This window comes from Homo sapiens, chromosome 2, assembly GCF_000001405.40.
Source record: "Homo sapiens chromosome 2, GRCh38.p14 Primary Assembly".
In the NCBI taxonomy this organism is placed as follows: Eukaryota; Metazoa; Chordata; class Mammalia; order Primates; family Hominidae; genus Homo; species Homo sapiens.
In genome coordinates, this window is record NC_000002.12 from 121,534,872 (window position 1) to 121,558,106 (window position 23,235).

The window sequence follows — 23,235 nt, forward strand, 5'->3', positions numbered from 1 at the left end:
AAAGATAACCAGTCACACAGGACAAAGTGAAAACTAGCAGAAACAAAGACCAACCTGGACTCTGGGTCCCTGGATAGGAGAATAATTGCAAACGGACTTTAAAATAACAAGTCAGGCCGAGTGTGGTGTCTCACGCCTGTAATCCCAGCACTTTGGGAGGCCAAGGCAGGCAGAGGCAGGCGGATTGCCTTAGCTTAGGAGTTCAAGACTAGCCTGGGCAACGTGGCGAAATGCCACCTCTACGAAAAAATACAAAACTTAGCTGGGCGTGGTGGCATGCACCTGTGGTCCCAGCTGCTCTGCTCGGGAGGCTGAGGTGGGAGGATCACTTGAGCCTGGGAGGCGGAAGTTGCAGCGAGTGGAGATCGTGCCACTGCACTCCAGCCTGGGTGACAGAGAGACACCTTGTCTCAATAAATAAATTAATTAAATTAAATAACCAGTCTTATTATGTCTAAGAAGAAAAAACACATGATTAAAGTTTTGGGTAGAGAAATGACAACTTTTAAAGTTACATAGGTTAAACAAATAATACAAGAGAAAATTAAATACTCAATGCATGGGCTCTTTTTCCTAAGTGCACTGTAAATACATGAAGAGAACTAAACAGGAAACTAAGTCTGCAGAAAAAATCCAGAATAAAGTAAAGAGAAGCAAAAAGATGGAATATTCAAAAGAATAGGCAAGAGAGAATAGAGAGAAAACATCAAGTTTAAATGGAATTTAAAAAGAAGAAATGAGAGACAATAGGTAAAAAGTAACGGCTGACATTCATTAGAATTTTTTTTTTTTTTGGAGATAGGATCATGCTCTGTCACCCAGGCTGGAGTGTAGTTGCGTGATTTCGGCTCACTGCAACCTCCATCTCCCAGCTTCAAGTGATCCTCCCGCCTCAGCAACCTGCCCCCTCCCCAGTAGCTGGGACTACAGGCGCGTGCCAACACACCACCCAGCTAATTTTTTGAGCTTTTGTAGAGGAGAGGTTTTGCCATGTTGCCCAGGCTGGTCTTGAACTTCTGGACTCAAGCGATCCGACTGTGTTGGCCTCCCAGAGTGCTGGGATTACAGGCATGAGCCACTGCACCCAGCCCTATTTTATTAAAAAATAAAAAATAAATACTGTTGGTAAAGATGTAGAGAAACTGGAACTCTTGTATACTGCTGGTGAAGTGTAAAATGGTAGAGTTGTTGTGGAAAATGGTTATAGCAGTTCCTCAAAAAAGATTAGGGCTGGGCACAGTGGCTCACGCCTGTAATCCCAGCACTTTGGGAGGCCGAGGTGGGCAGATCACGAAGTCAGGAGATCGAGACCATCCTGGCTAACACAGTGAAACCCCGTCTCTAGTAAAAATACAAAAAATTAGCCGGGCGTTGTGACGGGCACCTGTAGTCCCAGCTACTCGGGAGGCTGAGGCAGGAGAATCGCATGAACCTGGGAGGCGGAGCTTGCAGTGAGCCGAGATTGTGCCACTGCACTCCAGCCTGGGCGACAGAGCAAGACTGTCTGAAAAAAAAAAAAAAAAAAAAAAAAGATTAAAAATAATATTACCATATGATTCCAGCAATTCCATTTCTGGGCATATACCCAAAAGAAGTAAAAGCAGAGTTTCCAAAGACAGTTGTAAACCCATATTCACAGCATCATTATCTACAGGAGTAAAAAGGTGGAAACAACTGAAGTGTTGATTGACAGATGAATGGATATACAAAATGGAGTCTCCTGGTCTACCCATACAATGGAACTTTAGGCCTTTTCTGAAACACTACAACATGGATGAACCTTGAAGGCATTATGTGGAATAAAGTAAGCCAGTCACAAAGACAAATATTGTCTGGTTCCACTTACATGAAACACCTAGAGTAGTCAAATTCACTGATACAGAAAGTGGACTGGTGGCTGCCAGGGATTGTGGAAGGGAGAAATGAGAGTTATTATTTAATGGCTACAGGGTTTCAGTTTTACAAGAGAAAAACATTATGGAAAGAGACGTTGGTGATGGTTGCATAATTCAAATGTACTTCATGCCGCTGAATTGTACACAAAACTAGTTACATGGTGAATTTTATGTTCTGTATGTCTTACTACAATTAGAAATAACTTTTAAACAATAGCTGATGGTTATGAAGCTTGTGTTATGGGGCAATAAAAATGCTCTAAAATTAGATAATGGTGATGGTTGTATAACTCTGTGAATGTACTATAAACCACTGAATTATACACCTTTAAAAAGAATAAAAGGCCGGGCACAGTGGCTCACACCTGTAATCCCAGCAATTTGAGAGGTCAAGGCAGGCAGATCGCTTGAGCCCAGGAGTTTGAGACTAGCCTTAGCAACATGGCAAAATCCTGTCTCTACAAAAAATACAAAAATTAGCCAGGCCTGGTGGCACAAGCCTGTAGTCTCAGCTACTCGCATCGCTGAGGAGAGAGGATCGCTCGAGCCCAGGAGGTTGAGGCTGCAGTGAGCCGTGATCTTGTCACTGCACTCCAGCCTGGGTGACAGATCAAGATCCTGTGTCCAAGAAAAAAAAAAAGAGAGAGAGAGAGAGAGAAGCAATACCTGAAGAGATAATGGCTGAAAATGTTCCAAAAACTGAAGAAAAACATCAAGCCACAGATTCAAGAAGCCCAGTGTATCACACCACACTAAGGAAAAAGAAACCCAAACCTAGATACATTAGCTACATTGTTTAAAAGATGAAAATTAAGACCAATACTGCCAACAATAAAGAAATGCATCAGCAAAGTGAAGAAAGACAATTACTAATTACCAACCTATAATTCTATGATCTGTAAAATATACCTTTCTAGAAAGTGAAATAATTCTCATACAAAAACTAAAAGAACTTTTCAATACTTATCTTAGAAGCTATCCATTCTTTTAAATTCAATTTTAGTGACTGTCCTGGTGCTACTGGTTTAACAATAAATCATTCCATGTAACTTGCCATATTAATAACATGATTTTCCCCTTTATTATGTTAATCACCGCAAAAGATACAAAGCATCTGAGAAATTGAACATCCACTGCATTCATGATTAAAAATTCTTAGCAGATTAGGAAGAGAAAGATTCTTCCTTAACTTCATAAAGGATATATTTTTTTCAAACCTACAAAAAGCATCACACTTAATGATGAAATGCTGAAAGCTTTCTCTCTGAGACTGGAACACGACAAAAATATCCACTGTACAATTTCTGTTCAACATTATATCTACAGTCCTAGCTAACTAATTTTGGCAAGAAAAAAAAATAAAAGTGGCCAGGTGTGGTGGCTCAGCCTGTAATCCCAGCACTTTGGGAGGCCAAGGCAGGTGGATCACCTGAGGTCAGCAGTTTGAGACCAGCCTGACCAACATGGAGAAACCCCGTCTCTAATCAAATACAAAATTAGCCGGGCGTGGTGGTGCATGCCTGTAATCGCAGCTACTTGGGAGGCTGAGGCAGGAGAATCGCTTGAAACCGGGAGGCAGATGTTGCAGTGACCCAAGATTGCGCCATTGTACTCCAGCCTGGGTGATAAGAGCAAAACTCCGTCTCAAAAAATTTTTTTAAAAAAAGTATGAAAATTGACAAAAAAAGATTATCATTCTGAATGGAAAATACAACTGCGTAAAAAAAAAATCTAGAAGGCGCTAGGCATGGTGGCTCATGCCTGTAATCCCAGCAATTTGGGAGGCCATGACGGGCAGATCACGAGGTCAGGAGATGGAGACCATCTTGACCAAGATGGTGAAACCCCATCTCTACTAAAGATACAAAAATTACCCAGGCATGGCAGTGGGCACCTGTAATCCCAGCTACTCGGGAGGCTGAGGCAGAGAATTGCTTGAACCCAGGAAGCAGAGGTTGCAGTGAGCCAAGATTGCGCCTCTGCACTCCAGCCTGGGCGACAGAGCAAGACTCAGTCTCAAAAAAAAAAAAACTACAAGATCTAAAGGTGCATTATAAAATTAAGTTTTGCAAGACTAATACAAAGCCAATATATATGAAAAAAATTACATTTCTATTCTCATAATAAGCCAAAAAGGAAAGTTAAAAATGTTCCTATTTTTAATTTTATAAAAATAAACACCTAGGAATAAATCTAGCCAAAATAAATATCTGCCCAAAAAGCTATGTAACAATTTTTAAAATTTTTTTAAGATAGCTAAAATAAACGGAAAGATAAAACTATAGGCTGGAATACTCAGTACTGTGAAATTTTCAGTTCTCCCAAATTGATCTAAACATTCAATAACATTCCACTAAAAACCCTAATAAACACAAACATATATTTTTTTAAGAACTAAATAAGTTGATTCCAAAATACGTGTGATAATACGAATGGCAAGGCACTCTTTTGGTTAAACAAGGTGATAAAACTTGCTCCCCGTGGATATCAAGATTTATTACAATATCACAGGAATTAAGACAATGTGCTATCAGTTGATGGACAGACACACCAACAGACAGGATAAAGAAACAGATTCGGGCCTATGAGGGTATTTTATGACAAAGCAGGCATTACAGAGCAGTGACAATACGGCTACTTTTTAAATTGATGCCCCTGGATCAACTGAATATCTACATGGATTTAAAAAGAAGTTGACTCCTATCTCACACCCTGCACAAAAATGAATTCCTGATAATAGATAAACGTGCAGAAAGCAAAGCAATAAACCTTTTAGAAAATAACATAATAGCTTCAAGATCCCAGGATAGAGGAAAATATCAGGACACAATAAACACAAACCATAAAGGACAAGATTGATGAACTGGACCAAATTAGAATTAAGAACTTTGGCATATCAAAACCACTTAAGAAAGTGAAAGTCAAGTCACGCTAGAAGAAGATATTACAAAACAAATAAGCAACAACAGGCTTGTTTCTAGAATATATAAAGGTGCTCTACAAAGCAACTGATAGGCAAGCCAGTAGAAAAACAGGCAAAATATGTGAAGAGGCACTTCACAGAAGATACCAATGGTCAACATTCTAAGAAAAGTTGTTCAATTTCTACTAGTCATCAAGGAACTGCAAATTAAATGAGACACTACCGCACACTCACAATGGCTAAAACGGAAAAAGACCCACAAGACTGAGTGTTAACAAGGGTGTGGTACCACAGAAACTCTCCTACATGCTAGCAGGAATGTAAATTGGCATAATCAACACTTTAGAAAACATATTGGCATTAGCTAACAAATCTGAAGATATGCAGCAATACTGCTGCTAGGATATAACCAACAGAAACACATGCATACATATAACAGGTGAAATGTGCAAGAATGCTCAGAGCAGCACTACTACAGTAGCCAAAAACTAGAAATCCTTAAGTCCATCCACTGTGGAATGTTGAAGTTGTGGGTTTCATACTAAGAGATGCAATAAACACTGAAAATAAATGAATCACAGTTACACTCAGCAATACAAAATCTTGTAAGAATGAATCAAAAGGCCAGAAACATACCCACATTTCTATGAAGTTCAAAAACAAGCAAATAAAGTGGGCACGGTGGTGTCTACAGTCCCAGCTACTTGGGAGGCTGAGGCTGGATGATCGCTTAAGCCCAGGAGTTCAAGTCCAGTGTGGGCAAGATAGTGAGACCCCATTTCTAAAAATCATCAATTTTTTAAAACCAAGCAAACATGGCCAGGCATGGTGGTTCACACCTGTAATCTCAGCACTTTGGGAGGCTGAGGTGGGCGAATCAAGAGGTCAGGAGTTCAAGACCAGCCTGACCAACATGGTGAAACCCCGTTTCTACTAAAAATACAAAAAATTAGCTCGGCGTAGTGGCATGCGCCTGTCATCCCAGCTACTTGGAGGCTGAGGCAGGAGAATCGCTTGAACCCGGGAGACAGAGACTGCAGTGAGCCTAGATCGCGCCACTGCACTCCAGCCTGTGCAACAGAGTGAGACTCCATCCAAAAAAAAAAAAAGCAAACATAAACTGTAATGTTAAGGTGCATATTTAGATAATAAAACTAAAAAGAAAAGCCAGAAAGCAGTTATCATAAAAGTCAGAAGAGTGGTTACTTAGGGGAGTCCTGGTGGCGATGTCCTAAGCAACGTTCTATTTCTTGTCCTGAAGATCAATTAAACAGCTATTAGCTTTAAAATACATCATTAAATTGTGTCTTTGTGTTTTGTGCACATTCTATACACACTTCACAGTTTTAAGTTTTAAAAATTAGAGCAGTGGGAGTGATGCTGACCACTAGACCTATAAGTTTATAACAAGAAGCTTAGACCTCCAAAACACTTGTAAAGGCCCCAAAATGGAACAGTTATCTTTCCAGAACATGAGGTCTGCTCATTGAGCAAAGAAAGGAATACTCAATCCTCTCCTCCAAAAAAACATCCATAAGGGACAAACTAGGTGGTAAAAACAGGCCATTTCTGAAGCTTCAGAAGACTGGATTGTCTAAGGTAAAAACAATGTTCACATTCATATTGCACTTCATTGTTTTAAGGTATTTTGCATGAATCTGAGTACTCTCACAATAATCCTGAGATATAGAATATATTATCCTTATTTTGGAAATAAGGAAAATAAAGACCAAAAGACTTATCCAGGGTTGTAAAGTTTGGTAAATGACCAAACTGCAAATAAGCCCGAGCCTCCTGACTACACCAAAGCCATTTTCACTATAACATAATAATGATATACACAAAACCCCACATTTTTAGTCTTTTTCATCTCTCTTTCTCTCTCTCTAGCTAGCTTAAGACCTTCTCTGCCAATATCGGATAACTTCAAACGTCAGCCTCGGCGCTACACCTCTCTGAGGCTCTGGGAATGCCTCAGCTAGGAAAAAAAGCACTGGCTTTGTAAGCACATCTTTGGGGCTGACATCCAGCTCTCCTCCCATGGCAGCTGCTCCATCTCCGAGCTTCAAATGCTCACTCAATAAAACCAGAATAATAATACATTTACCTTAAAGAGTACACATGAGGCTAACGAAGTTTTAACAAAATGCTCGGAATGTCACAGGCACCCAGTAAGTACTATTTCCCTTCTTTATGAGAGCAGCACTTTTAAAAATAATAAAGCGTGGCTTACTGAGTTAAGGGGCAAACAAAGTAGGCATGAAATCTAGAAAAGAAAATAAGGTTGCCTAAAATTCCATCACTCAACAATACCCCTGTTACTGTTTTGGTGACTATCCTGCAAGACATCCAGGCACACGCACATGCACATTTTTCCATTCAATGTGCAATGGACATCTTCCCAAGTCAATAAATACAGATCTACACCCCTATTTTCAGTGGCTTTATAATATTGTACGTAGGTATCATCATCACTCACCCAGTCCTACTAATATGCAGGGTTTTCATTATTTTACACAAAACGATGATGGATGCACACTTCTACATATGTGCTCTCATCCTCTTAGTACAAATGCTGAAAACATTTGCTGAGTCAAAAAGAAAACACACTGTATACTATACTGTTAGCTCTGTTTTTAATGTAATGCACTAGGTGCTGCTTTAAAAACAGGACTGTGCCCTGCTGATTTCTACACATTTTTTAGTTATTTTAAAAGACTAGATTGCAACCTCACTAAGTAAGGAGAAATTAGCACTCTACACTGTAATTTTCACATTCAAGAATAAAAACACAACACAAATACCCCCTCAAGAAAAGTGTGATAGTCAGTGACTTTGCACATACACATGTACGATGGCAGAAGTAGTTACTGTTACCCAAACTTGTTATCCTTCAAAGCAGTCACCTAGGAAGTGCCTGGGTGCTCAACCCAATAACAATGCCACTGCGCAGTCTATTTTTAAAATTCCTCTTCTGGAATGCCCTCCAGAGATAGTTTATAAACCATAAAAGTAAATGTCTGTTAAAATACGTTAATTAATATTGGATTAATGGGACTTACAAAGTTATGGGCTATTACCAGTAATTGTCCATATAAAGGATTTTACCCTTCAAAAGGTATTTAGGATCATCACACCATCAAACCACTTTCTTTTATTACACATGAGGCCAGCAATATGGCAAGTCACACTAGGAGACAAGGTTTAAAATACAATGAGAAGCAGAGTTAGTAACCTTTGTTTGAAGACCTAGACCAATCCAATACAGCTTTCAGCAATGATAGAAATGTTCTACAACGGTGATGTCCAATGCAGTAGCCACTAGCCGCATATGGTTACTGAGCAAACGAAAGGTAGCTAGTGCAAATGCAGAACAGGACTTTTCATTTAACTTTGCTTAATCTTAACTTTAAACCACCACAGGAGGCTCATGGCTACTGTACTGGACAGTGCTGCTCTAGACCACTGGCTGCAAACTCGGACACATAGGTAAAAATAAGGCCGGTTATGTGATGGGGGTAAGGGGGCCATGGAAACTTGGGGCACCTCTTAAAGCTCCAGTCACTTGATAACATGTGGGACTGAAGGACAGTAAGGCCACATCTCCTGATTTTAAACCCTGGCAACTTATCCAAAGAATTTTAAAGCACTAAGGAGACCAAACAAAACATATTTGTGGGTCATATCCAGTCACAGACCTCTAAATTTGCAATCTCTCTCATCCAGATACATCCCATAAACATGAGATCAGGCACCAAGACATTCATGATGGTTTAAGGAAATAAACAAAGATCTAAGTTTCCCATATGGACTTTCAAAATTTTCCCTGATATGCTTCCAAGCTGACCTACCTGTTCCTCTCTCCCAGCAGCCCCCAGCGCGCCAACAGGACTCACAGCTCTTCCTCCTGCCCAAGATTCCTAGAGTCTCCCTAGACTCCTCCAAAGCCCAAGTCCCAATCCTTCTAAGAGACAGTTCCAGCTAGCCCCCTCCAAAAGGTCTCCAGCCTCCTAATTTCTCTAAACCCCAATCTGAATAGTACTTTTTTCTATCTCCTTTATATGCATACTAAGTAACTCTCCAAAAAGACCACAAACTACTCAAAGCAGAGCAGATTCTTACACAACCTTTCTCATGCACTCACTTGCCCAGAGACAGTAAAAAAAAAGTAGGGGGTGGATAGGAAATCATGGGGCAGTGAACGTCTATCTTACAAAGATTCTCTATTTAATTCTCACAACAATATTTTGAGGCAAATATCATAACTATAAATATGCCTACTTTGCAGATAAGGAAACTAAGCCCAAAAAGATGAACAAATAATTAGGCAAGGTCACTCCGCGATTATGTGGCTTAAATAATGTTCACTAATCCATTAGTCTTACAAAAGGGCAAACCAAGAACACTAAGTTTATAATGACACCCAAGTCAAATCACTCTTCTGTGTCTACTTTTTCCAGAGAACCATCTGCCCACTGGTTGTGCTTCTGACAAAAAGTGTGTAACAGAAGCCGTTCCAAGAGTGTACTGTAACTAATTTTAGAGACCAAAATATCTGTGAATTGGCTCATTGGTTATAGCTCCCAGCATTCCAATCTCCACAGAGGCACCATGAGAGACAAATCAACTCCTTCCTCAAGTAAGGAGTAATCTCCTTCCACTGATTTTTCTCAGAGTTCATGCCAGGGTTAAATCCTGACAAAAATCTTAGCTCCAGGATGGCATTTTACTACTTTCAAAAAATATATACAAAAAAAAAAAAAAAAAGCTATTACTACCCCTTTTTGAAATTGAAATCTGGAAAAACATAACAATAGTCTGTGCTTAACATACTCTCTAAATTCATGCAATACATGTTTTTTTAAAGGGGGAAAGGTGCATTCATTTATTTACTTAAAATTTATTGATCACTTATTAGAATTCTATATACTTGATCAAATATCAATCAAGTATAAGGGTAGAGACGAACAAGCTGTTAGACATATAAGGAGTTACTAAACACACACGTACCACATGACTGCAATTCCATTCCATACAAAAAGAACTGGGTCAGTAAACAAGAAAATAAACCAAAAAAGTGAAAAACATGGGATCCTAGAAACAGAGGGGCCAACTCAAAAGAGAGGTGAAGGCAATTACCAAGATGATGGCAAAAGGGATTCTCAGAATGATGGCAGGGCACCTAATTTTTTCTTTCTTTTTCTTTTCTTTTCTTTTCTTTTTTTTTTTTTTTTATTTTTGAGACGGAGTCTCGCTCTGTCACCCAGGCTGGAGTGTAGTGATGGGATCTTGGCTCATTGCAACCTCTACCTCCCAGGCTCAAGCAATTCTCCTGCCTCAGCCTCCCGAGTAGCTGGGATTACAGGCGTGTGCCACCACATCCAGCTAATTTTTGTATTTTTAGTAGAGACAGGGTTTCACTATGTTGGCCAGGTTGGTCTTGAACTCCTGACAGTTCAAGTGATCCACCTGCCTCGGCCTCCCAAAGTGTTGGGATTACAGGTGTTAGCCACTGCACCCGGCCTGGGTACCTAATTAAAATCAGCACAGCAAGGGCAGAGAATGAGAGCAAGTTAGAAATCAACAGGGGAATACAAAGCTGATGGTCCAAAATTGAATCTCCAAGTTTGTCTCCAAAAAGTTTTTGTTTTTCTTTTATTTGTTTGGTTTTTTTAATCACGGGGGTGGGGCGGGCACGGAGCAGACATTTGCTTGAATCATGATCCAAAAAAATCCACACATGACATTTAGCAGGTATGGCACATGACAACTCAAGGTTATTCTAAAGTCTCCCTGACTCTAAAGTGGGCCCCCTCCTACCCCATTTCTTTTCGTGTCATTTTCGTGCTGTAGAAATCTGGTCGGTTCTGTTATGAAGAGACACAGTCAGCTTTGTCTGTTTCCTTGGGCATCGTTGAACTTGACCCTCTATCTGCATTTCCTGCAGATGAAGTCAGCTCTAGAGATCCAACTAGATTCAGATTCAGCATTTCTGGCCAGAATATTTTATAGGTGGTACTATAATCTTTATTCCAATAATATCTTCCATATTTCATCAAATCTAAGACACCACCAACTTTATGAACACCAAAGAAATAGCTGGTGACAAACTGTTACCCAATTGATCAAAAGACTCATCTTGATATCAGAGATGGTAAAACTGTAGAGGTTAAAAAAAAAAGTGTCTCAGAATTGAAATTCTATTATAGTTTGCTCATTACTTAAAAAAAAAAAACTTTCTTTAATTGGATTTATAGTTCTATAGAATGAGAGCTTCAAAAACACCTTTTAAAACAGAAAGATTCTTAGAAGTATGGCATGCTTTACATGCAATGCCTCTTGGAAACAGAAATGATCTTTCAAGGTACTTTCCAACCATGGATTTCAAGGCCCTTTCCCTTTCACATCCCACCCCAACACATTTCCTGTGATTTATCACATCTCTATACTTTAGCCATGAGACTACCTCTCAGGGTATACCCAGAAAAAGTAAAAACAAGGAACAGCTAAAAAATTCAGTTACATTGGAAATAACTTGGCAGTTTCTTTAAAAACGAAACACACACGTACCCTATGACTGCAATTCCATTCCTAGGTATCTACCTAGAAATGAAATATAGAAATCAAAGTGTAGGGGGGTGGCCAAGATGGCTGACTAGAAGCATCTAGTGTGCGCAGCTCTCACGAGAGGAGCGAAGGGGCGAGTAAACACAGCACCTTCAATTAAACATCCAGGTACACGCATTGGGACCAATCAAGGAAACAACTCCACCCATGGAAAACGGAGAAAAGCAAGGCAGGACGGTGGCCCACTTGGGAGTGAAATGGAGCCAGGGGAACCTCCCCCATTCAGGGAAGCAGTGAGTGAATATGGGACCCCGGGAACCACGCTTCTTCCACAGACCTTTTTACAACCCTCGGGTCAGGAGACTGCCTCATGAACCCACTCCACCAGGGTCTTCAGTCTGACACAGAGCTACATGGAATCTTGGCAGAGTAGTTTCTCAGGCGCAAACAGAGACCCGAGAGCCTTAGATACCCAGGCTTTCTGGGCTTCAGGGCAAAAGGAGCTGCAATTCCATCTTTGGGTTTCAAGTGCCCAAAGCAACTAGGGGCAGACCCTGAGCATAGCATGGCTGCTCTATGAAAAAGAGGTCAGACTGCTGTTTTAAGCAGGTCCCTGATCCCATTCCTCTTCAGGGGATGGGCCCTCCCAACTGAGGTCTCCAACCACCACCTACAGGTGCCTTTGGGCTGGCAACAGATCTGTGCCTTCCTGGGACAGAGCTCCCAGAGGGAGGGGCAGGCCACTATCTCTGCTGTTTTGCAGCCTTCACTGTTGATACCTCCAGGTACTGGAAAATCCAAGGCAACTGGGACTGGAGTGGACCCCCAACATATTGCAGCAGCCCTACAGAAAAGTGGCCAGACGGTTATGTGGGTACCCATTCCCACATCTCCTCATCGGCAGGTCCTCCAGGCCTGGGCCTCCAGCCACCCCCTTACCAGAGCTATCCAGCCAGTAGCAACTCAGCAACTCCCTGGACAGAGACCACATGGCAACTGAAAGCCTCTCTGCCACTGCCGCTGCGGTGGAACTGCCCTTGCTACCCTCGGACTAACAAAGAAGCACAGACCCTAACTGCCTTATCCACACCTCCAACAAGGAGGGGAGGCTAGTCCGTCTCCCAAGGGCCCACCCACCCCCCTACTCTTCACCAGGCAGGGAACCCCCAGCTTGGGCTCGCAGCGAAGACCCTCCATCCTGAGCTGATTGCACTGAGTGACTGCTGACCTGCATGTCTCTGGGGTGGAGCCCACAGGAGACAATCAAATGACCCTCGGCCACAACCACTACTAAGGTCCCTTCCTCTGCTGCCCCCAAACTGGAAAAAAAACATAAACACTGAGATTGTCCCAGAGCTGCAATGGGCAGCTCGGGAATGCCAAGCTGCGATCTATAGCCAGTACTCAAGGTGGAGAGAAACCCACGCTTTTTGAGAATTGAGAGGGAACACGGCTGCAACTGTGAGGAAATACGGGGGAGCCACACAACCAAGCAAGAGTGTACCATGACCAGTATGCCTACGTGCCACATACCAGATCACAACCCAAAGCTTCAACACCAAAAATACCTCACTAACGTACCACCCTCTGAAACCAAAAACAAGAAGTCAGCTTCAAAGACCCTAAACAAAGACTCAGCCCTGTGAAAACATCCAGCAAATCAGTCACTTGACTGTACTCAATCTACACTGCAGTTAAAGGAACACCCAGACTTAGAGACAAGCAAAAAACCAATGCAAGAACTCCAGTAACTGTCATATGTCTCCCAACAACCACACCAGTTCTCCAACAAGAGTTCTTAACCAGGCTGAGCTGGCTGAATGACAAAAATAGAATTTAGAATATGGATAGGAACCAAGATCACTGAGATTCATGAGAATAGCAAAACTCAATCCAAGGAAAGTAAGAACCAAAATAAAATGATACAGGAGCTGAAGGACAAAATAGCCAGCATAAAAAAGAACCTAAAGGATCTGACAGAGCTGAATAACACAATACAAGAATTTCACAATGCAATGACAAGTATTAACAGCAGAATAAACCAAGCTGAAGAAAGAATCTTAGAACTTGAAGACTGGCTCTCTGAAATAAGAGTCAGACAAAAATAGTGACAAAAAGAATAAGGAATGAACAAAATCTCAAGAAGTATGGGATTATGTAAAGAAGCCAAATCTATGAAAAATTGGTATCCCTGAAAGGGAGAAGAAAGCAAACAACTTACAAAATATATTTCAGGGTATCATCCATGAAAACTTCACCAACCCTGCTAGAGAAGCCAAAAGTCAAATTCAGGAAATACAGAGAACTCCTGCAAGATGCTACACATGAAGATCACCCCCAAGACACATAATCATCAGATTTTCCAAGGCTGAAATGTAAGAAAGGATGTTAAAGGCAGCTAGAGAGAAAGGGCAGGTCACCTACAAAGGGAACCCTGTCAGGCTTACAACAGACTTCTCAGCTGAAACCCTGTAAGTCAGAAGAGATTGGGGACCTATATTCAACATTCTTAAATAAAAAAAAAAAAAATCTTCAACCAAGAATTTCATATCCAGCCAAACTAAGCTCTTTAAGCAAAGGAGAAATAGGAACCTTTTTCAGATAAGCAAATGTTGAAGGAGTTCGTTACCACCAGACCTGCCTTACAAGAGATCTTGAAAGGAGCACTAAATGTATTAATATAGTAGAAAGGAAAGATCACTACCAACAAATGCAAAAACACAAACCAGTGTTAAATATGCAGACCAGCGATACTATAAAGCAGCCACACAAACAAGACAGCATAATAACCAGCTAAGAACACAATGACAGGATTAAATACACATATATAAAACTAACCTTGAATGTAAATGGGCTAAATGCCCCCACATAAAAGGCACAGAGTGGCAAGCTGGATAAAAAAGCAAGACTCAATGGTATGCTGTCTTCAAGAAACTGATCTCACATGCAATGACACCCATAGGCTCAAACTAAATGGATGGAGGAAAATCTACTAAGCAAATGGAAAACAGAAAAAAGCCAGGGTTGCAATCCTAATTTCAGACAAAGAGACTTTAAAACAACAAAGATCAAAAAAGACAAAGATGGGCATTACATAATGGTAAAGGGTTCAATTCAACAAGACGACCTAACTATCCTAAATACATATATGCACCCCAACACAAGAGCACCCAGATTCATAAAGAAAGTTCTTAGAGACCTTCAAAGAGATTTACACTCCCACAAAATAATACTGGGAGATGTCAACACTCTACTGACAATATTAGACAGATCATCAAGGCAGAAAATTTATAAAGATATTCAAGACCGGAACTCAACACTAGACCAATGGATCTGATAAATCTCTACAGAACTCTCCACCCAAAAATAACAGAATATATATGCTTCAGATCATCACATGGCACATACTCTAAAATCAACCACATAATTGGACATAAAACAATCCTCTGCAAAAAAAAAAAAAAAAAGGCCTGGCGTGGTGGCTCACGCCTGTAATCCCAGCACTGTGGGAGGCAGAGGCGGGCAGATCATGAGGTCAGGAGATCGAGACCATCCTGGCTAACATGGTGAAACCCCGTCTCTATTAAAAATGCAAAAAAATTAGCCAGGCGTGGTGGCGGGTGCCTGTAGTCCCAGCTACTCAGGAGGCTGAGGCAGGAGAATGGCGTGAACCTGGGAGGTGGAGCTTGCAGTGAGCCAAGATTGTGCCACTGCACTCCAGCCTGGGTGACAGAGCACGACTCCGTCTCAAAAAAAAAAAAAAAAAAAAAACCTGAAATCACACCAAACACACTCTTGGACCACAGCACATTAAAAATAGAAGTCAAGACCAAGAAAATCACTGAAAATCATACAATTACATGTAAATTATACGACATGCTCTTGAAAGACTTTAGGGTAAATAAAGAAATTAAGGCAGAAATCAAGAAGCTCTTTGAAACTAATGAGAACAAAGATACAACATATCAGAATCTCTGGGACACAGCTAAGACAGTGTTAAGACAGTAATTCATAGCACTAAATGCCAACATAAAAAGAAAGATTTCAAATTAACAACCTAACATCACAACTGAAAGAATTAGAGAAGCAAGGACAAATCAACCCAAAAGCTAGCAGAAGACAAGAAATAACCAAAATCAGAGTTGAAATGAAGGAAATCGAGACATGAAAAACAATTTTTAAAAAATCGACAAATCCGGGAGGTTTTAAAAAAAAATTAATAAGATAAATAGGCTGCTAGCTAGACTAACAAAGAAGAAAAAAGGGAAGATCCAAATAAACACAATTAGAAATGATGAAGAAAATGTTACTACTGACCCCATAAAAATAAAAACCATCAGAAACTACTATGCACACCTCTATGCACACAAACTAGAAAGCCTGGAAGAGATGAATTAATTCCTGGACACATACAGTCTCCTAAGACTGAGCCAGGAAGAAACTGATTCCCTGAGCAGACAAATAATGAGCTCCAAAACTGAATTCGTAATAAAAAGCCTACCAACCAAATTCACAGCCAAATTCTACTAGATGTACAAAGAACAGCTGATACCATTCCTACTGAAACTACTCCAAACACTTGAGGAGGAGGGACTCCTACCCAACTCATTCTACTAGGCCACCATCATACTAATACCAAAACCCAGAAGAGACACAACAAAAAAAGAAACCTCAAGCCAATATCCTTGATGAGCATCGATACAAAAATCTTCAACAAAATACTTGCAAACCAAATCCAGGAGCACATCAAAAAGCTAATTCACTATGATCAAATAAGCTTCATCCCTGGGATGCAAGGTTGGTTCAACATACGCAAATCAATAAATGTGATTCATCATATAAACAGAATTGAAGACAAAACCACATGATTATCTCAACAGATGCAGAAAGGGCTTTCAATAAAGTTAAACACCCCTTCATGTTATTAGGTATTGAAGGAACATACTTCGAAGTAACAGCCACCTATGACAAATGCACAGCCAACACCATACTGAATGGGGAAAAGCTAGAAGCATTCCCCTTGAAAACCGGCACAAGACAAGGATGCTCACTCTTACCACTCCTATTCAACATAGTATTGGAAGGTCTAGCTAGAGCAATCAGGCAAGAGAAAGAAATAAAGGCATCCAAATAAGAAGACAGGAAGTCAAACTATCTCTATTTGTAGACAATACGATTCTATATCTAGAAAACCCCACAGTCTCGGCCCAAAAGCTCATTCAGCGATCAACAACTTCAGCAAAGTTTCTGGATACAAAATCAATATACAAAAATCACTAGCATTCGTATACACCAGCAACAGGCAAGCAGAGAGTCAAGTCATGAATGAACACCCATTCACAATTGCCACAAAAAGAATAAAACACCTAGGAATACAGCGAACCAGGAAGGTAAAAGATCTCTACAATGAGAATTACAAAACACTGCTCAGAGAAATCAGAGAAGACACAAACAAATGGAAAAATATCCCATGCCCATGGATAGGAAGAATCAGTATCATTAAATGGCCATACTACCCAAAGCAATTTACAGATTCAGTGCTATTCCTATCAAAACTACCACTGACATTCTTCAAAGAACTAGAAAAAAATATTTTAAAATTCATATGGAACCAGAAAAAAAGCCCAAATAGTCAAGGCAATCCTATGCAAAAAGAACAAGGCTGAAGGCATCACATTACCTGAGTTCAAACTATACTACAGTAACCAAAACAGCATGCTACTCATACAAAAACAGGCACATAGACCAATGGAATAGAATAGAAAGCCCAGAAATAGGCTGCACACCTATGACCATCTGATCTTCAACAAGCTGACAGAAACAAGCAATGGGGAAAAAACTTCCTATTCAATAAATGGTGCTGAGATAACTGGCTAGCCATCTGCAGAAGATTAAAGCTGGAACCGTGCCTTACACCATACATAAAAATCAAGTCATGATGAATTAAAGACTTAAATGTCAAACCCAAAACTATAAAAACCCTGGAAGACAACCTAAGCAATACCATCCTGGACACAGGAATGGGCAAAGTTTTCATGACAAAGACACCAAAAGCAATCGCAACAAAAGCAAAAATTTACAAATGGGATCGAATTAAACTTAAGAGCTTCTGCACAGCAAAAGAAATTATCAACAGAGTAAATAGACAACCTACAGAATGGGAGAAAATATTTGCAAACCACGCATCTGACAAAGGTCTAATATCCAGCATCTATAAGAAACTTTAACAAATTTACAAGAGAAAAAACAACCCCATTAAAATACAGGCAAAGGACATGAACAGACACTTTTCAAAAGAAGACATACATGCAGCCAACATGTAGGCATATGAAAAAAAGCTCAACATCACTGATCATTAGAGAAATGCAAATCAAAACCACAATGAGATACCATCTCACACAGTCAGAATGGCTATTAAAAAGTCAAAAAGTAACAGACGCTGGTGAGGTTGCAGAGAAAAGGGAACACTTAACACACTGTTGGTGGGAGTGTAAATTAGTTAAACCACTGTGGAGAGCAGTCTGGCAATTCCTCAAAGAGCTAGAAGCAGAACTACCATTCGACCTAGCAATCCCATTACTGGGTATATACCCAAAGGAATATAAATCATTCTACCATAAAGACACATGCATGTGTATGTTAATTGCAGCACTATTCACAATAGCAAAGACATGGAATCAACCTACATGCCCATCAATGACAGACTGGATAATGAAAAAGTGGTACATACATACCATGGAATACTATGCAGCCATAAAAAGGAATGAGATCACATCTTTTGTGGGAACATGGATGGAGCTGGAGGCTATTATCCTTAGCAAACTAATGCAGAAACAGAAAACCAAATATTGCATGTTCTCACTTGTAAGTGGGAGATAAATGATGAGAACACATGAACACAAAGAAGGGAACAACAGACACTGAGGCCTACTTGAGGGTGGAGGGTGGGAGGAGGGAGAGGAGCAGAAAAGATAACTTTTGGGTACTGGGCTTAATACCTGGGTGATGAAATAATCTGTACAACAAACCCCTGTGACATGAGTTCACCTCTGTAACAAACCTTCACATGTACCCTGGAACCTAAAATAAAACTTTAAAAGTAAATAAATAAAATTTAAAAATAAAATAAAATAGCAAGGTACTGCACTTTTTAAAAAGAAAAATGGGCCAGGCATGGTGGCACACGCCTGTAATCCCACCACTTTGGGAGGCTGAGGTGGGAGGATCATGAGGTCAGGAGATAGAGACCATCCTGGCCAACATGGTGAAACCTGTCTCCACTAAAATACAAAAAATTAGCCAGGCATGGTGGCAGGCGCCTGTAGTCCCAGCTACTAGGTTGGCTGAGGCAGGGAAATCGCTTGAACCTGGGAGGCAGAGGCTGCAGTGAGCCAAGATCGCGTCACTACACTCCAGCCTGGTGACAGAGCAAGACTCTGTCTCAAAAATAAATAAATAAATAAGTAAAAAATAAAAATGTATGGTCACATAAAGATTTGTATCTTTAATTATTCATCATTAATTATGAATTAATGCATAATTATGAAATACTGTCATAATTCATATAGCAGTATTATTCATAATGGCAAAAAGCAGAAATAGGCCAAATGTCCATCAAATTATGAATGGATAAACAAAATGTGGTAGATCCATATAATTAAAATAACACTCAACAGGCTACAGACAGTGGCTCACACCTGCAATTTCCGAACTTTGGGAGGCCAAGATGGGAGAGCTGCTTAAGCCCAGTAGTTCAAGATTAGCCTAGGCAACATAGTGAGATGCCATCTCTTTAAAAAAAAAAAAAAACTTAGATGTGTGTGGTGGCGTGTGCCTGTAGTCCCAGCTATACTGGAGGCTGAGGTGGGAGGACCAGTTGAGCCTGGGAGGTCAAGGCTACAGTGAGCCATGATCACCCACTGCACTCTGGCCTGAGCGACAAAGCAAGACCCTATCTCAAAAAATAAATTAAAAAGAAATAAATAACAACAATAAAGAAGAACAAACTATTGACACATGCTATGACATAGATGAAGCATGAAAACATGATGTGAAGTACGATAAATCAGATAGGCTGGTTGAAGTGGCTCATACCTGTAATCCTAACACTTTGGAAGGCCAAGGCAGGAGGATCTCTTGAGCCCAGGAGTTTGAGACCAGCCTGGGCAACATAGGAAGACCCTGCCTCTACAAAAAGTAAAAAAAAAAAAAAAAAAAAAAAAAATTAGCCAGGAGCGGTGGCACTTGCCTGTGGTCCCAGCTACTCAGGAGGTTGAGGTGGGAGGATGGCGTGGGCCCAGGAGTTCGTGGCTGCAGTGAGCTGAGATGGCACCACTGCATACCTGCCTGACCTTGTCTTAAAAAAAAAGGAATTGGATTAAAAGACTACATATTATATGTTCCCATTTATAGGAAATGTCCAGAAAGGGCAAATCAGTAGAAGCAGAAAACAGACACACCATTGCCTAGAGCTGGGGGTAGAAGTGAGTGTTGACTGCAAATGGCATGAGGGATCTTTTTGGGCTGATAGAGAAATGTGAAGATGGTTGCACAACTCTGTAATTTTACTAAAAATAACTAAATTGTACATTTAACAGGTAAATTTTATGGTATATAAATTATATCTCAGTAAAGCCATTTAAGAAAAGCAAAATCTGTTAGTAGGCTTAAAACAATTCTCCTAGTGACTGAATCATGCACAGAAGAACTTATTATACCTGCCCCAAACAAGTATTTCTTATATCTCTATCCAGAAATATCGGCTGTTGTGGAAGAAAGCAAGGCCCTGGGTCAGGAACTGAGAGTTGTGGGTGGAAAGCAACACGGTCTGTGCAGACCCAGAGTCCTAATGGAGTCAAGAACTCCCTGGAGAGCTCACGCTGCACACAAACCTCAGCAGGTCTCTCTGCGGCCCATGAATCCTCTGCAGTTTTCCTGGATGTGCTGTGCTCTCGCATGCTCCCGTCTGCAGCACTGTGTGTTCTCTCTGCTGTCTGCTCTTGTGCCTCTTTCAGGACTCGCTTCAAGCCTCATCAACTCCAGTGGCCTCCCACCAATATCCACCAGCCTGAGACAGAAGTTGTGTTTCCAGCCACCTATTATACTGTTCTAGCAGTCAGGCTCATTTGTGACCTCTGATTTTTAAAAGCATCTATTTCTCTAATGCCAAGAGTCTAGACTGCAACCTTCCAGAAGATAGGTTTTTATTCATCTATCATCAGCATCAACTATAATGATAGCAAATTTTGAGGAGGAGGATGGAGGGAAGGTGAATAAGACAAACAGGAAAGAATGTAAATATCATGAACTACGTATTCCAATTAACTAACCTGAATACAATGACTGCCATCAAGACATTATCACTCTGTCCTACTTGTATCCTTGCTTCCAATCCCAGCCCACTCAAGGTCTACTCTTAACAGACAAGCATAATGTCTTTTTTTTCCTTTTTTAAGACAGAGTCTTGCTCTATCAAGTACAGTGATGCAATCTTGGCTCACTTGCAACCTCTGCCTCCTGGGTTCAAGCGATTATCCTGCCTCAGCCTCCTGAGTAGCTAGGATTACAGGCATGTGCCACCACGCCCAGTTAATTTTTTTGTATTTTTAGTAGAGATGGGGTTTCACCATGTTGGTCAGGCTGGAACTCCTGACCTCGTGATCCACCCACCTTGGTCTCCCAAAGTGCTGAAATTACAGGTGTGAGCCACGGCGCCTGCCCCCTACCCACCGCTTTTTTTTTTTTTTTTTTTTTTTTTTTTTTTTTGAGACAGGCTGGAATGCAGTGGCATGATCTCAGCTCACTGTCACCTCTGCCTCCCAGGTTCAAGCAAATTCTCGGCCTCAGCCTTCCAAGTAGCTGGAATTACAGGCACACACCACCACGCCTAGCTAATTTTCGTATTTTTTGTATAAAGATAGGGTTTTGCCATGTTGGCCAGGCTGGTCTCACATTCCTGGCCTCAAGTGATCTGCCCGCCTCAGCCTCCCAAAGTGCTGGGATTATAGGTGTGAACCACCATGCCCAGCCACAGAATGTCCTTTTGAAAGGCAAGTCGTTATCATTTCAATCCTCTCTTCAACACCATCCAAGGGCTCCCCAGCTTGGGTAAGAGCCAGTCTTACTATGGCCTACAAGCCCTCATGATCTGACCTCTCATTACCTCTCTGAGCTTATCTAGTGGTCCTGCCCGCTCCCTTCACTGGCCTCCTGGCTGTTCATCAGATGTGCCAGACTCCTTCCGCTCTCTGCACCGGGTGCTCTGTATGCCTGCAATGCTCTTCCCCAAGATACCTACCTAGCTTGTTTCAGCATCTCCTTCAAGTCTTTGTTCAAATGTCATAAAATTCACTGTTAACATGCTTATTGGCTCCTTCCCCTAAGTAACACATAAGCTCCATGAAGACAGAAATATTCATCTGATTATCATTGCTATTGTCTAGAACCATATTTGTTGAATAAATGAACAAATCCCACTGACAGGCCTTATTGCTCACCTGGAAAAATATCTTTCTGTTGGGTTCTAAATTAAGTTGAACAAGAATGAACAACTTCTGACATGCATCTCCCCTCCCATACTTCTTGCTGCTAAAAAGTTATACCAAAATACAAATAAAGAGAAACTAATACAACTAAAGCACCATGCAAACAGCAGTACCTGTAGTACAGTCCTGTACTAGGTCACAAGACCTCCATCCTAGTTCTGCTACCAAATGACTCTAGGTGTGTTATTAATACTTGCATAATCGGGGCAACTGTCTACAAAACTAAAACTAGTGGTCTCTGAGACTCTGCAAGCTCTGTGGTTTGAATTCTGTTCTTCATTCTCCCTATTTTGCAGTGCTGCTCACTGCGAATGTTATCAATCCCTGTTGCTGGGCCCTGCCCTAGGTTTCTACTGCTGCCTTTCTCAAGAGCACGTGATAGAACTTACTCTTTCCTGGTTATCAGTTCAGATGATAAGTTTTGTTTGTGCCTTTCTTCACTCAGTAGATAGCTTAAAGCAGTGGCTTCTGAACTTTTTGATTACATAGAATATCTATTATGTGGCCAGGCTTGGTGGCTCACACCTGCAATCACAGCACTTTGAGAGGCTGAGGCGGACGGATCACAAGGTCAGGAGTTCGAGACCAGCCTGGCCAACATGGTGAAACCCCATCTCTACTAAAAATACAAAAATTAGCTGGGCGTGGTGGCAGGTGCCTATAATCCCAGCTACCCAGGAGGCTGAGGCAGGAGAATCGCTTGAACCTGGGAGGCGGAGGTTGCAGTGACCCAAGATCGCACCACTGCACTCCAGCCTAGGCGACAGAGTGAGACTCTGTCTCTAAATAAATAAATAAATAAAAGAACTATTAACAATGGAGGGTGGAAAGAACAGAATCAACCATAAGCTCTGCTAACTTTTTAGTCTACTGTAGAACCCTGGAGATGGAGGTTGCAGTGAGCTGAGATCACGCCACTGCACTCTAGCCTGGGCAATGGAGTAATACTTCATCTTGGAAAAAAAGAAAAAAGAAAAAAAAAGAATACCTATTATGTGTAGGCTGGGCACGGTGGCTCATGCCTGTAATCCTAGCACTTTGGGAGGCCAAGGTGGGTGGATCACAAAGTCAGGAGTTCAAGACCAGCCTGGACAAGATGGTGAAACCCCGTCTCTACTAAAAATACTAAAATTAGCCGGGCATGGTGGTGGGCACCTGTAATCCCAGCTACTCAGGAGGCTGAGGCAGAGAACTGCTTGAACCCAGGAGGCTGAGGTTGCAGTGAGCCGAGATTGCACCACTGCACTCCAGCCTGGGTGACAGAGTGAGACTCCGTCTCAAAAAGAAAAAAAAAAAAAAAGAACAC

General features: G+C 41.1%; 1 protein-coding gene across 36 annotated transcripts in view; it reads right to left on the reverse strand.

The window, feature by feature from the left end:
• CLASP1 (cytoplasmic linker associated protein 1) overlaps window positions 1–23,235 on the reverse strand; it is a 311,687-nt gene that overhangs the window by 197,096 nt on the left and 91,356 nt on the right. The gene's annotated exons all lie outside the window — the stretch shown is intronic.